The sequence below is a fragment of the Homo sapiens genome, chromosome 3 (genome assembly GCF_000001405.40).
Source record: "Homo sapiens chromosome 3, GRCh38.p14 Primary Assembly".
Classification (NCBI taxonomy): Eukaryota; Metazoa; Chordata; class Mammalia; order Primates; family Hominidae; genus Homo; species Homo sapiens.
This window is the reverse complement of record NC_000003.12, coordinates 195,673,757-195,687,696: the sequence shown is the minus strand read 5'-3', so window position 1 is coordinate 195,687,696 and position 13,940 is coordinate 195,673,757. Positions and strand designations below refer to the sequence as shown.

General features: G+C 47.8%; 1 pseudogene across 1 annotated transcript in view, besides 3 other annotated features; it reads right to left on the bottom strand.

The window, feature by feature from the left end:
* Positions 1 to 13,940, bottom strand: part of SDHAP2 (SDHA pseudogene 2) — a 30,833-nt pseudogene that overhangs the window by 1,175 nt on the left and 15,718 nt on the right. The window contains exons 10-14 of the transcript NR_003265.3: positions 13,710 to 13,879; positions 9,849 to 9,970; positions 6,396 to 6,507; positions 6,031 to 6,161; positions 3,832 to 3,945 (exon numbers count right to left, since the gene is read on the bottom strand). The product of NR_003265.3 is annotated as an SDHA pseudogene 2 (transcript). The remainder of the gene's footprint in view (positions 1 to 3,831; positions 3,946 to 6,030; positions 6,162 to 6,395; positions 6,508 to 9,848; positions 9,971 to 13,709; positions 13,880 to 13,940) is intronic.
* Positions 2,876 to 3,595: an enhancer, noted in NCBI's record as "H3K27ac-H3K4me1 hESC enhancer chr3:195410973-195411692 (GRCh37/hg19 assembly coordinates)". NCBI's record gives its function as "activates a minimal SCP1, AML or CMV promoter by ChIP-STARR-seq in naive H9 embryonic stem cells {active_cell/tissue: H9 hESC(naive)}" and the evidence as "EXISTENCE:reporter gene assay evidence [ECO:0000049][PMID:30033119]".
* Positions 3,596 to 4,317: an enhancer, noted in NCBI's record as "H3K27ac-H3K4me1 hESC enhancer chr3:195410251-195410972 (GRCh37/hg19 assembly coordinates)". NCBI's record gives its function as "activates a minimal SCP1, AML or CMV promoter by ChIP-STARR-seq in naive H9 embryonic stem cells {active_cell/tissue: H9 hESC(naive)}" and the evidence as "EXISTENCE:reporter gene assay evidence [ECO:0000049][PMID:30033119]".
* Positions 5,640 to 6,139: an enhancer, noted in NCBI's record as "H3K4me1 hESC enhancer chr3:195408429-195408928 (GRCh37/hg19 assembly coordinates)". NCBI's record gives its function as "activates a minimal SCP1, AML or CMV promoter by ChIP-STARR-seq in primed H9 embryonic stem cells {active_cell/tissue: H9 hESC(primed)}" and the evidence as "EXISTENCE:reporter gene assay evidence [ECO:0000049][PMID:30033119]".

Sequence of the window (13,940 nt, the reverse complement as noted above, 5' to 3'; positions counted from 1 at the left end):
GACAGGAGGCGGAGCTCACACAGCAATGATATGACAGGGGCGGAGCTCACAATAATGATATGACAGGGGGCGGAGCTCACACAGTAATGATATGACAGGGGGCGGAGCTCACACAGTAATGACAGGGGGCGGAGCTCACACAGTAATGATGACAGCGGGCGGAGCTCACACAGTAATGCTCTGGCAGGGGGCGGAGCTCACACAGTAATGCTCTGGCAGGGGGCGGAGCTCACACAGTAATGATGACAGGGGGCGGAGCTCACACAGTAATGATGACAGGGGGCAGAGCTCACAGTAATGCTCTGGCAGGGGGCGGAGCTCACACAGTAATGCTCTGGCAGGGGGCGGAGCTCACACAGTAATGCTGACGGGGGTGGAGCTCACACAGTAATGCTGACAGGGGGTGGAGCTCACACAGTAATACTCTGGCAGGGGGCGGAGCTCACACAGCAATGCTCTGACAGGGGGCAGAGCTCACACAGTAATGCTCTGGCAGGGGGCGGAGCTCACACAGTAATGCCGACGGGGGTGGAGCTCACACAGTAATGCTGACAGGGGGTGGAGCTCACACAGTAATACTCTGGCAGGGGGCGGAGCTCACACAGCAATGCTCTGACGGGGCAGAGCTCACACAGTAATACTCTGGCAGGGGGCGGAGCTCACACAGTAATGCTCTGACAGGGGGCGGAGCTCACACAGTAATCTCTGGCAGGGGGCGGAGCTCACACAGTAATGCTCTGCCAGGGGGCGGAGCTCACACAGTAATGCTCTGCCAGGGGGCGGAGCTCACACAGTAATCTCTGGCAGGGGGCGGAGCTCACACAGTAATGCTCTGACAGGGGGCGGAGCTCACACAGTAATGCTCTGGCAGGGGGCGGAGCTCACACAGTAATGCTCTGGCAGGGGGTGGAGCTCACACAGTAATGCTCTGGCAGGGGGCGGAGCTCACACAGTAATGCTCACTGGCTGGCTGCTCACCTCCTACTGTGTGGCCTGGTTCCTAACAGGCCATGGACTGGAACAATCTGTGGCCTGGGGATTGGGGACCCCTGATTTAAAGAATCGAGGACACACTCACCTAGCAAACCATCTGCTAAGAAAAAAGGAGGAAAAGCACCAACATTAATTTGAACTTAGAAATAAACTACAAGGCCAGACATGGTGGTTCACACCTATAATTCCAGCACTTCGGGAGGCCAAGGAGGAACGATCACTTAAGCCCAGCAGTTTGAGACCAGCCTAGGCAACAAAGTGAGACCCTGTCCCTACAATTACAAAATAAATGAGCTGGGCGTGGTGGTGCACACCTGTAGCCCCAGCTACTTAGAAGGCTGAGTCGGGAAGATCACCTGAGCTGCCCAGGAGTTTGAGGCTGCAGTGAGCTGAGACTGCACCAACCCTGTCTCAAAAAAAAAAAAAAAAAAAAGAAACTGCAACAAAATATCTGGATTTTGATGTAACAGAATACAAAGATAATTACATTTGATTTTTAGGTCAACAAATATGACAAGTCATAACAGGAAAATATTTTAAATGGATTTGGAAATAAAAGAAAGTTTGTTCATTTATATTTTATTTAACAGCTGTGCCCAGTTTTATCTTGTCACAAGAATGAAGCAAGGGACAAAGGTAAGTGCCACGCTCCCCGGCCACTGGGTGCCAATCCCCCTTCAATGTACTCCTTCTTCCCCAGAGTGCAGAAGCGTATAAAGACAGTTATGACATTGACACATGCATGAGCTATTATACATAATTACAAAAGCTGATTCTGTCATCACCACATCTTGTCTCATCAGTAGGAGTGAATGGCTGGGGGGACAGTGGCACAGTCAGCCTCGTTCAAAGTTTTGTCAATTATGGGTCTATATTCCACAGTGACCTTGAAAAGAAGTCAGTGGTAAGTTAAGCACAAAAATGTACAAAAAGCCATCTCTTGTGTTCCTTTTGAAAAATTTTAACTATAAAAGTAGATTTACGGCATGTGAACTTTAAGGTATTTGCTGCAGTATTTTCCAATAACAAATTCAAAAATGATCTACATGCGCAACAGGGGACTGTAAATGACGGCAGATCGGTAGAGTGGAACAGAGCAACGAAAATGACACTGTACCAGATTCTCAGTGCTTTGCTTTACAAAAATGCTCCCATCATGAAAAGTGGGAGAACCCTTGTCTATACCAAGACACTTCATGTTTAAACTATCTACTTCCAGTTTTTCTACTTCAAAGTAAATATTTATATAGGTAGAACATCCCTAATCCAAACATCTGAAATTCTCCCAAATCTGAAACTTTCTGAGCACCAGCATGACATTCAAAAGAAATGTGCTATGGAGTCAGATCTTCCGATTAAGGATGCTCAGACAGTAAGTGTAATGCAAATATTCCAAAGTCTGAACAAGCCTGAAATCCAAAACACTTCTGGTCCCAAGGATTTCAGAGAAGGAATACTCAAGCCGTGTATTAAATATGCACACACAGGAAAAGGTAGGCACATATACAAAGAAATTTAAACCATAATGGGTCATCTCTGGTTAGTGAGCTCTTATTTCAATCTCTTTGTACTTTCTAAAATGAGTATGTATTTCTTCAAAAATCACTGAAACTGGCTGGGCGTGTTGGTTCATGCCTGTTGGGGAGGCCAAGACAGGTGGATCACTTGAGCTCAGGAGCTCAAGACTAGCCTGGGCAACGTGGCAAAACCCCGTCTCTACAAAACATACAAAAATTAGCCAGGCATGGTGGCATGTGCCCGGGAGGCTGAGGTGGGAGGATCACCTGAGCCGAGGGGAGGTTGAGGCTGCAGTGAGATGAGATCGAGCCACCACATTTCAGCCTGGGCAAAAGAGATGAGACTCTATCTCAGAACAACAAAAACAAAACAAAAAACCTGAACCCGGAAACATTAAAAATAGACTTGTGCTAAGCGAGTGAAGTGTGACCTCTCTATACTATCAGGAAATGGCCTTCATGATAAATTCTGAAAATGACCCACTGCCTGAATCACAGACACACTAGATGATAGTGAGAGTCCAAAGGTAACTTCCACAGACACAGCTAAGTGATTATACGACTCTCCCTTACAAGTTATGAAAAGCTTAAGGGTAAAAGCTTTCTATCTTCATGATTTCTGAATCTCAATGCCCAGTGGAAATGCCACACAGGTGAACTGTGCTTGTGTGGAACAAGCTGCAACCCCCTACCACACCCTCGGCTGGCTGTTCCCAAGACGCTGTGCTTGTGTGGAACAAGCTGCAACCCCCCTACCACACCCTCGGCTGGCTGTTCCCAGGACGCTGCTTACCCCAACCCTGCCTCCATTTCTGCCCTTCTCTGCTTGCTCAGTGCCCAGGGGATGCTAAGGGCTGCACCACATCCCCTCTGCTCCCCTGCAGATGCTTCCAGTTGGCCCAGCCCATGGGAAGAGAGGGGAGGGGTCTCTTCTGGGCTCCCTTGGCTCGGGACTGGTTTCTGGTAGTGGCTCTGTCCCCACCACACAGATGCTGACTTTCTCGCTAGGTCCACAATCATCATCTCCTCCCCTGCCACCAGGCCTTGGACACTTGCTCCTGCCCAGTGACTTCCATCTGGCCCACACCACAGAGCAACCCTTCCTTAAGGCTCCTCTGAACCACCTGCAGGCACTGGATTCTGTTTCCAGCCCGAAGCCCGACTGCTGTCAGAGTGCCTTTTTCAGCGGTGCCTCAAATCTGTCGGGAGTTGATTTAAATCTGGCCTGCTCCTCCGCGTTCACCATCAGCAAGGCCAGCCCGCAGACCTGGGCGGGGCCGTGTGGGTGCTGGGCTGTGGTGAGAACGAGCTCCACACTGACCTTCCCAGTGCCGACGTCCACATAGGACAGGGTGTGCTTCCTCCAGTGCACCTCAAAGGGCTTCTTCTGTTGCCCCTGGATGGGCTTGGAGTGATCATACTCATCAATCTGCACCTGAGGCCAGAAACACCATCACATTTCTCATTACTCTAACAGAGCAATACAGAAAAAACACAGCAAACATTAAAATGATCTAAGAGACAGATGCCCTAGAACCCATTCCATTTCCACTTCAGCCCAGGAGGTTGGCACCATCAACACGTTCAGAACCCACAGAGGCCACATGGCTGGCCAGCGATGTGCAGCCAGCAGTGAGTCCAGAGTAATCCATGTCCGCATGTTCCCTTAGACATCCTTTATGTACCTAAGAGTTTATCAAATACTTTGTCTTTTTGCTCCAAGCGCTGGGAGACTACCTCCATCTTTTCTTTCAGCCTGTTTTTATTAAAAACACTTTTTTTCTCTTTTGAGACAGGGTCTCGCTATGTCACCTGGGCTGGAGCGCAATGGTGTGATCACAGCTCGCCAGAGCCTTGACTTCCCGGGCTCAATCAATCATCCTGCCTCAGCCTCCTGAGCAGCTGGTACCTCAGGTGTGTACCACCACGCCTGGCTAATTTTTTAATTTTTGTAGAGACAGGTTTCGCCATGTTGCCCAGGCTGGTCTAGAACTCCGGGGCTCAAGTGATCTGCCTGCCTCAGCCTCCCAAATGCTGGGATTACAGGTGGGAGCCACTGCACCTGGCTTCTATTCTAATTAAAACTCGTTGTCACCAACTAAATTTATGCTCCTGGCCAGGCACAGTGGCTCATGCCTGTAATCCTAGCACTTTGGAAGGCCAAGGTGGGTGGTTCACTTGAGGTCGGGAGTTCGAGACTAGCCTGGCCAACATGGTGAAACCCCGTCTTTACTGAAAATACAAAATTAGCCGGGCACGGTGGCATGCGCCTGTAACCCCAGCTGCTTGGGAGGCTGAGGCAGGAGAATCACTTGAACCTGGGAGGCAGAGGTTGCAGTGAGCTGAGATCGCGCCGCTGCACTCCAGCCTGGGGGACAATGAGACTCCATCTCAAAAAATTAAAAATAATAAATTTATTATTATTCTGTATTCTGGCAAACACGGATTCATATACTTTGCAGGAAAGACTCTTAATATGTATGAGGAGACGAGCAAATTCTGAGCAGTGATCACAGCCATCAGCATATTCTAGTGGAGGGTAAATCAGTAAAATTTCATGGTGAATAAAAATGATTTTCCCATTCACTGTGTTCAGCTGACTGGAAAGGCTGCCACCAGCCGCCCACACATGGCCCTGAACCAGCCTGTGCGCCTGCCTTGTGGAGCCTTTGTCCTTTTGCCGATGTGGTTTATCCTGAACTTGCATTTGCACCCCAAGCTTCCCTTTCCGTCGTTTTTTGCTATCATATGTGAAAAACTCTTACCAGGCAGAATCCAACACGTGTGCTCTGCACAAAAATCAGTTCATCTGAAGAACAAGTGACCACAGGGCAGTCTCCGTAATCAAACCACAGGACAGGCTCTATAATACCTTTTCCAAACCACAGGACAGGTTGGAAACAGTGGCTTACTCGTTATTTAGTAAACTGGCATTTCCTCCACAAGGCAGGTCTGAAACGGTGACTTACTTGTTATTTAATAAACTGGCATTTCCTCCACAGGGCAGGCTTGAAACGGTGGCTTACTCGTTATTTAATAAACTGGCATTTCCTCCACAGGGCAGGCTTGAAACGGTGGCTTACTCGTTATTTAATAAACTGGCATTTCCTCCACAGGGCAGGCTTGAAACGGTGGCTTACTCGTTATTTAATAAACTGGCATTTCCTCCATAGGGCAGGCTTGAAACGGTGGCTTACTCGTTATTTAATAAACTGGCATTTATTTCCTGGTCATGCCACGCTGGCTGCACTTCTAACCTTGGCCTTCTAACAGCAAAGCACATTGGCTTGGAGATGCCACTGCTGGCATCAGTGGATGCCGACCCAAAGCAAGGAACAGGTCACAGTGATCCAGAAAATGGCGAGAACCCAGGGATCAAAGTTACCAGAGGGAAAAAGGCATTTTTTGGATATACTTTTGGGGAAACGACATAAAATGCAGAGAAAATGCAGGGGTGGGGCTGAGTCCCACCAGGCGGGAGGAAAAGGCAGGTGCAGGTGGGCGTGGCGAGAAGGCGCACCTTGTAGTCTTCCCCGGCGTGCGCGCCCCGTGACTCCTTCCCCGCCTCTGCTCCATTGACGGTCTGCAGCGCACATAGCATCAGGTTCTGCAGCTCCAGGGTCTCCACCAGGTCCGTGTTCCAGACCATTCCTGGGGACACAAAAAGTTCCATCAGGGGCAGGTGGGACCCAGTCACACGGGCCCTCCGAGCTGTCAGCCTGGGCCTGCTAGTCCATGGAGTCACTGGTTGTGGCTTTACAGCTGGGGGCCAGCACCCATCCAGACAGCAAGCATGGAACTAAGTCAGCACTGACGGGACAGACACCAGCCCACCCTGCAGAAGGCAGGGCCCAACAGTGTGCACAGAGCCCACTGTCTGCTCACCCCGGTCAAACGTCTTCAGATGCTTCAGGTCTCCATAGAGCTTGCTGATTTTCCCACAACCTTCTTGCAACAAGCTTCCCACACGGAACACGGCAGCATGATTTTGCGTTGACTGTGGCACAAAATATTATTTGTAAACTTTTAATTCATAGAAGCAGCCATACCAAGAACTGCTTAACTTTTAGACCTGTTGTTTTGCATTTCATTTTATTTATGTAAATTAAACAGAAAAATTAGGAAATTTAGACTATGAGTTTATTACTCTGAACTTAAAAATGAAGTCTTGACTAAAGCTTCTGAATAAATGTTTCTATTATATACATATCTTAGACCCACACACATCCTTTCCAGCGGGATACAGCCAGGGTCCAGGACGCCAAGCAGACTGCCTGTGAGGCACCACGTTCCATACGGCTCCACGGCCAACCAGGCAGCACTGCCTCCCCACACCCCTGGCGGGACTCCTGATGTGGGGTCTGGTGGTGAACGTGACACGAGCCAGCAGCCCTGTGGTGATACACACAAGGAGGAACTGAGCAGAGCCCTGCTGATGGTGGGGTTGGAACCGAAGGTCTTCAAGGAGAGGGAGGGGCGTGGGTGGCTGGGGCCCTTGGCCCATCTGGCTACTGTCTTCTGCCTATTTTGTAGAAGCTCCTTGTACACTGAGTTCCTTCATAGTTTTACTATCACGAGAAACGTGCTAGGAGTGGACCTGAAGTTTACTTAGGTATGCTGGGAACTGGGCATCAGCTTTTGCTTCCTGTGGGACACACAGGCACCACCTCCGTGATCCCTCCTCCTCCTTGCTTCTCCCTCTAACTGTGCTTTGCTCCACTGACCCTAATTGTCTCTTCCTCTACCAATGCACCTTCGTGGTTCAATTTGGACATTTCATCTGATTTTCCTTAGACTCATACATAATCGTAACACTGTAATGCACATCAACCTAATGGTTTTTCAGGAAGAACAAATGAAAAAAATTGCATCTCAGAATCTAGTATTACATTCTTTCATGTCCTTTAGCAGCGACGTTTTCATATCATCTTTTCGTATTTCTGGTTACATTATTTCAAGGCATTTTAAATTTTTTGTTTGAAATGCGAATGAGATATTTACTGATGTCTGAGCAGATTACTGCTGGCACATTGCAAAGCTACTGATTTTTACATACAAATCTCTTATACACATACCTTACTACATTCTTGTTTTGTTTCTGTTAGTTTTTCCGTTTATTCTCTGGAAATTTTTTGGAAATTATATCTGTAAATAATGGCAACTGTATCTATTCCTTTTCAATATTTACTGCCAAGACCAGCTGGGTCATGGAAACCCTAACCCAGTGGCACTAGAGGAAGTAAAGACACACACACAGAAATATAGAGTGTGGAGTGGGAAATCAGGGGTCTCACAGCCTTCAGAGCCAAAAGCCTCAAACAGAGATTTACCCACGTATTTATTGACAGCAAGCCAGTGATAAGACTTACTGAAAGTATTCCTTACAGGAAATAAAGGGATGGGTCTGGCTAGTTATCTGCAGCAGGAGCATGTCCTTAAGGCACAGAGCGCTCATGCTATTGTTTGTGGTTTAAGAAGGTCTTAAGAGGTTTTCCACTCTGGGTGGGCCAGGTGTTCCTTGCCCTCATTACGGTAAACCCATAACCTTCCTGCGTGGTCGTCCTGGCCATCACGAGCACGTCACATGCTGCAGAGATTTTGTTTATGGCCAGTTTTGGGGCCAGTTTATGGCCACATTTGGGGGCCTGTTTCTATCAATTTACCTCATTTCTTTTTTTGATTGTTACTATTAATAGCCAGAGTCAGCAGAAAAATCCCTTCCCCCAACGAAATGCATTTCCGCAAGCATAGGAAGCTCTGTTTGTTCAGTGCTGACTCCGGCACCTCACGGAGCCTGGGATACAGCAGGCACCAAGACACACCTTGTTTGGTGGGAACACTTCTAGTATTCTCACTTCAAACTATCTCAGATTTGCCATTTCTATATCCTAAGGCATGTTCCCATTCTCTAACGCAAGGGTTCCTTCTTTCCCAGCTGGCCTCCAACCCTACAAAAGCACTGCAGGGCATCACTCAGCCTTCTGTGCCTTAGTCACGCTGTTCTTCTCACCGTTCCACAAAACCTCCCTCAAGCCCAGCCTCACCTGAAGACCGAAGGGCACGGGCCTCTGAAAATTGTCAGCAGGGAACCTGTTCTCTTGTGTCTAACACCAAATGCCTTTCAGAATAGGACTAAAGCAGTGGACTTCTTTCTAGAAAATACGCAGAAATTCTTGCAAATAGCAGACAAGAGATCTCATTCATGGACAAGAATCCTTGTTATTAGAGGAATTGAGTTTCTTAGACTGACTATATATCAGGTTCTCCACGGCCCCATGGCTAATGGCTGCCATACTGGACGGCAAACACTCAACATTTCCATCATCACAGACGGTCCTACTGGACCGACTCCCAGCAGCACAGGCCGCACAGATCACTGTCCACCTGCCGCCCACTCTCCCTCTCTGCTGAGTATATTTAGGGGCAGCAACAGGTCTAGCTTAAAGACGTTTCCGAGCTGCTGGAAGCCAGGCATGATGACATGATCAATATCTGGGCCTGAGATGTAAGCACCAGTGTTGTGTTGAACTCCAGGAAACCTCTAAGAGAAAGCTGCCCTGCTGGGGACGGAGCTTCTCCGGCAGTCCTGCGGCTCCCTCTCCTCCACACTGTGACTCATCCATGACAGCCAGCGACGGTCAGGGCACGGAGGTCATGCCCAAGCACACACGAGTGAACCACAGAAGGCTGTCCTGGATGCTAAGCAGTCACTAATTCTGCCCTGGCCTGCTGACCTTCTATGTGGAGAAGAAGTGCACTTCTGGTCTCTTTCATATTCTTGATACAGTGAGGAGTATGTCCTACTGCTGTTTACCTCCACATACTGGTGCAGCCTCGTATGTTTATTGCAGCACTAGTCACAATAGCAAAGTCATGGAATCAACCTAAGTGCCCATCAACGGACGACCGGATAAAGAAAATGTGGTACATATATACCATGAAATACTACTTGGCCATAAAAAAAGAATGCAATCATGTCTTCTGCAGCCAGACGGATGGAATGGGAGGTCACTATCCTAAGTGAGTCAGAAGGTCAAGTGTCACACATTCTCCCTTGGAAGTGGGAGCTGAACGGTGAGTACACATGGACACACGGAGTGGACTAACAGACTGTGGGCTCCAAAAAGCGGGAGGGGTGGGGATGAGCAATTACCTGCTGAGTACAACACACACGACTTGGGTGACAGGTACATGAAAAGCCCAGACTCCACCACCTCCCAGTACATCCACACAAAGCTGCACCTGCATCCCCCTAGATCTGTTTTTAAAAAAACAAAACCAGTGCAGGGCCAGGTATGCAGCCAGCCTGCTCACTCCAGAGCGAGTCCAGGCTCTTACCTTCTGCATGCTGAGTCGCAGTTCCGATGTTCTTATGCTTCTTCCATCAGCAAATCTCAATTTGTCAAGATTCGTGACAGATTCTTCCCCAGCATTTGGTTTAATTGGAGGGACTTTATCTCCTAAAACAACAACAAAAAGAGCTAGAATTTAACTTTTGAAAACCGTTTTAAAAAAACAAATGGATTTAGTACTACACACAAAAATGTAGCATAGCCGCTCAAGGAGCCTGGAAACGGTGTAAGTCTCCTGAGCTAACACACTGCCAACCCACCCTACATCTGAGGCCATCTGTTGAGTTGGGGCCAATTTTAAAGAACAGACATAAAAGGCAAAACTGTTGGCACACAGTAGATATCCATTAAGTGATCTTAGAGTGAATAAACTAGAAATCATCTCTAAAATTAAAAAATTAAAATGTAGGCCAGGTGCAGTGGCTCACGCCTGTAATCCCAGCACTTTAGGAGGCTGAGGTAGGTGAAGCACTTGAGGTCAGGAGTTCAAGAGCAGCCTGGCCAACGTGGCAAAACCTCATTTCTACTAAAAACACAAAAATTATCTGGCATGAGAACTGCTTTAACCCGAAAGGTGGAGGTTGCAGTGAGCCGAGATCGCGCCACTGCACTCCAGCCTGGGCAACAGAGCGAGACCCTGTCTTACAAAAAAAAAAAATTAAATGTATACAGATTTATATACATTAAGTGTATATAAATGTCACTCCACTAACGGGAAAAAATGACACCTTCCAGATGGTGGTCCCAAGGGGCCGGCCGCCCCACTGTCCTTCACATTAGGGGGAGGAAGGTGGCTGCTGTGTGCTTGCAAGTCACCTGCTGATTTGGACTGTTGTGTGCTCTCACCTATACTTCAAGATTTGCAATTTTTTTTTTTTTTTTTTGAGATGGAATTTTGCTCTGTAGCCCAGGCTGGAGTGCAGTGGCACCATCTCGGCTCACTGCAACCTCCACCTCCTGGTTCAAGCAATCCTCCTGCCTCAGACTCTGGAGTAGATGGGACTACAGGAGTTTGCAACCATACCTGGCTAATTTTTGTATTTTCAGTAGAGATGGGGTTTCACCATGTTGGCCAGGCTGGTCTCGAACTCCTGACCTCAGGTGAGCCACCTGCCTCAGCCTCCCAAAGTGCTGGGATCACATGTGTGAGCTGCTGCGCACGGCCAAGATTTGCAACTCTTGTGTTTCCAAGATGTCTTGAAAAAAGTTTTAAAGGTTTTTTTTTTTTATAAAATTATATGTATTTTTTCTTCAATAGGTAACACATGCAGGAGATAGGAGGTATGAAATGCAGGAGTCAAACAGGCCCTGTCCCGCCTACCGCCTCTCCTCGGGACCAGGCTGTGGGTCTCTTGACGGTCTGCTCAAATGCTTCTAGGCTTGCTGGTGTCTCTTTTCCTTTTGTTTATAACGCTTTAAAAATTGATCATCCATTAAAATTGACTTTTTTCTTTCGGTGGACAGTTCTACAGTTTCTTTTTTCTTTTTTTTTTTTGAGACAGTGTCTCCTCCCTCTGTTGCCCAGGCTGGAGTGCAGTGGTGTGATCTCGGCTCACAGCAACCTCCGCCTTCTAGGCTCCAACAATCCTCCCACCTCAGCCTCCCAAGTAGCTGGGACTACCCAAGTGTGAGCCACCATGCCCAGCTAATTTTTGTATTTCTGGTAGAGACGGGGTTTCACCACCTTGCCCAAGCTGGTCTCGAACTCCTGAGCTCAAGCAATCGGCCTGCCTTGGCCTCCCAAAGTGGTGGGATTATAGGTGTGAGCCACTGCACCCGGCCTCAGTTCTACCGATTTTAACACATGGATAGATGCATGTAACCACTTTGGGAGGCTGAGACAGGAGGATCACTTGAGGTCAGGAGTTCAAGACCACCCTGGGCAACACAGGGAGACCCTGTCCCTAGAATACATTTTTAAAAATTAGCCAGATGTGGTGGCGTGCACCTGATCGTACCACTGCACTCAAGCCTGGGTGACAGAGGGAGACTATGTCTAAAAATACACATATATATATTTTTGGGGGGGTCGGGGGTTGGGGGAGAAGTAGGGATGCTACAAGCATTTTTTCTTTCCTTTTCATTTTTAAAAATTAAAGCGTAAAGATACAGTAAAATAAACTCATCATTTTTAATGTAGGTTTTTCAAACTTTGACACACACAGAGCTGTGTCTGTAAGCCTCAGCACAATCAGGAAACAGCCTCTGGCAACCACCAATCCCTTTTCTTCCCTAGATGTGCCTTGTCCAGAATGTCCTATCAACAGGACCACAGGCGTGCAGCCTTTTGAGTCCGACTCCACAGCATTCTGCGTGAGATGCTGCATGTGTGAGCGGTTTCTCAGATGTCAAGTATAGGGTATTCTCACAAAATGTTCTTTTCTGCATTTTCAAAGAAAGAGAAGCTCAAAATTTCTACACTGCTCTGAGAGAAGTGGTATCAGACCTCACTGCGACAAAGTGCAGGGCTATGGAGTGAGACAAGCACAACCTGTGGCGTCAGGAGCGAGGCACCTGAACTCCGCCTTCGCCGATGATCAGCAACGGCTGGGGATGAGACGCCGGCTCTGCATGTGCTGGCCTCCTGAGCTGTCGTCAGATCCACAGAGACACAGTGTCTGAAGTAGCTACCCTTTTAATACTGCCTGTACCTTTCTAACTACAGATAGAAAAGGGTCATGTTTATAAGGTACGGCGGTGCTAGTTTTTATTTCACTTGAGTCCATACAAAAAGCAAAAAGCGCCTGTTCTATAAAAACAGCAGAAATGATGCTAAACAGTTAACACCAGAGAAAGCTAACGGGAAGAACGTGGGCCTGGGGTCCCACCATCCTTGCCACGCAAACATCCACCAGTGCCTCATCCACCTCACACTGTTCTGAGCACACGAGGCTGCATGACCACCGTGAGGATCTCTGGAGGTGGGAACGATGCTAACTGTCCTGTTCTTCGTGCACATAAGACTCACACTCCCACACACGGTATTCCTTTTCCTGCACATTATTTGACGCTATCCTGAAAAGAAAACCAGCAAGTGAAATCGAATCTGTCCGTAGAGGGTGGGAATCCTGTTCACTCTAAGTCAGCCCTTCTCCTCTAATAGAGGTTAGTTGTACTTTTAGAATGGCCTAAATTATTTTTCTAAGTACCAAGAAGTTACATATTCATTCATGCCAACTATTTTAAATATTTCATTGCAAATAAGTGATTTTTATCAGGCAAGTAATACGTAATGAACTTCCCCTAAAAATAACAGCTTCCTAATAGTGCTTTTTCTAAACAGAAAATAATGACTGCAAAATAATTTAAAAAAAAAAAATGTAACCCCAAAAATGTCACCTTAACTGTTAAGATCCCCAACCAGCCTCTATCTAGTCTCAACATTACCACCATATAATCTCTGGATTTCTCAGTTTAATCACTTCTAGGGGAAAAAACCCAGACTACCTCTATATGCTCACTACGCAAATTTCCAGTAAGAAATCAAGGCTTTGTAACCTGGCTGGGTGCAGTGGCTCATGCCTGTAATCCCAATACTTTGGAAAGCTGAGGCAGAAGACTGTTTGAGTCTAGGAGTTCAAGACCAGCCTGGGCAATATTGTGAGACCCTGTCTCTACCAAAAAAAATTTTTTTAAATTAGCCAGGTGTGGTGGTGCACATCTGTAGTCCCAGCTACTTGGGACTCTGAAGGTTGAGGTGTTGAGGACTGCTTGAGCTCGGGAGGTTGAGGCTGCTATGACTGTGCCACTGCACTCCAGCCTGGGCTGACCCTGTCTCAAAAAAAAAGAAAAAAGACTAACCTCCTGCGCCTTCTCAAATAGTCTGGGTCCTGAAGAAAACACTTACCAGGCCTGCACGACTCTGCGATGCTCAGGGCACATGCCTGACCAGACAACCAGGTCCAACAGCGAGTTTGCCCCGAGGCGGTTGACACCATGTGCAGAGGCACAGGCGGCCTCCCCACAGGCGTACAGGCTGGGCACAATCTGATCCTGGCCATTCCCGTGCCTCAGGACCTGTGGAAAGGAAGATTTCAGGTGAAATGTCAAGATGCCCATTCCTCCACAAGCCCACCTC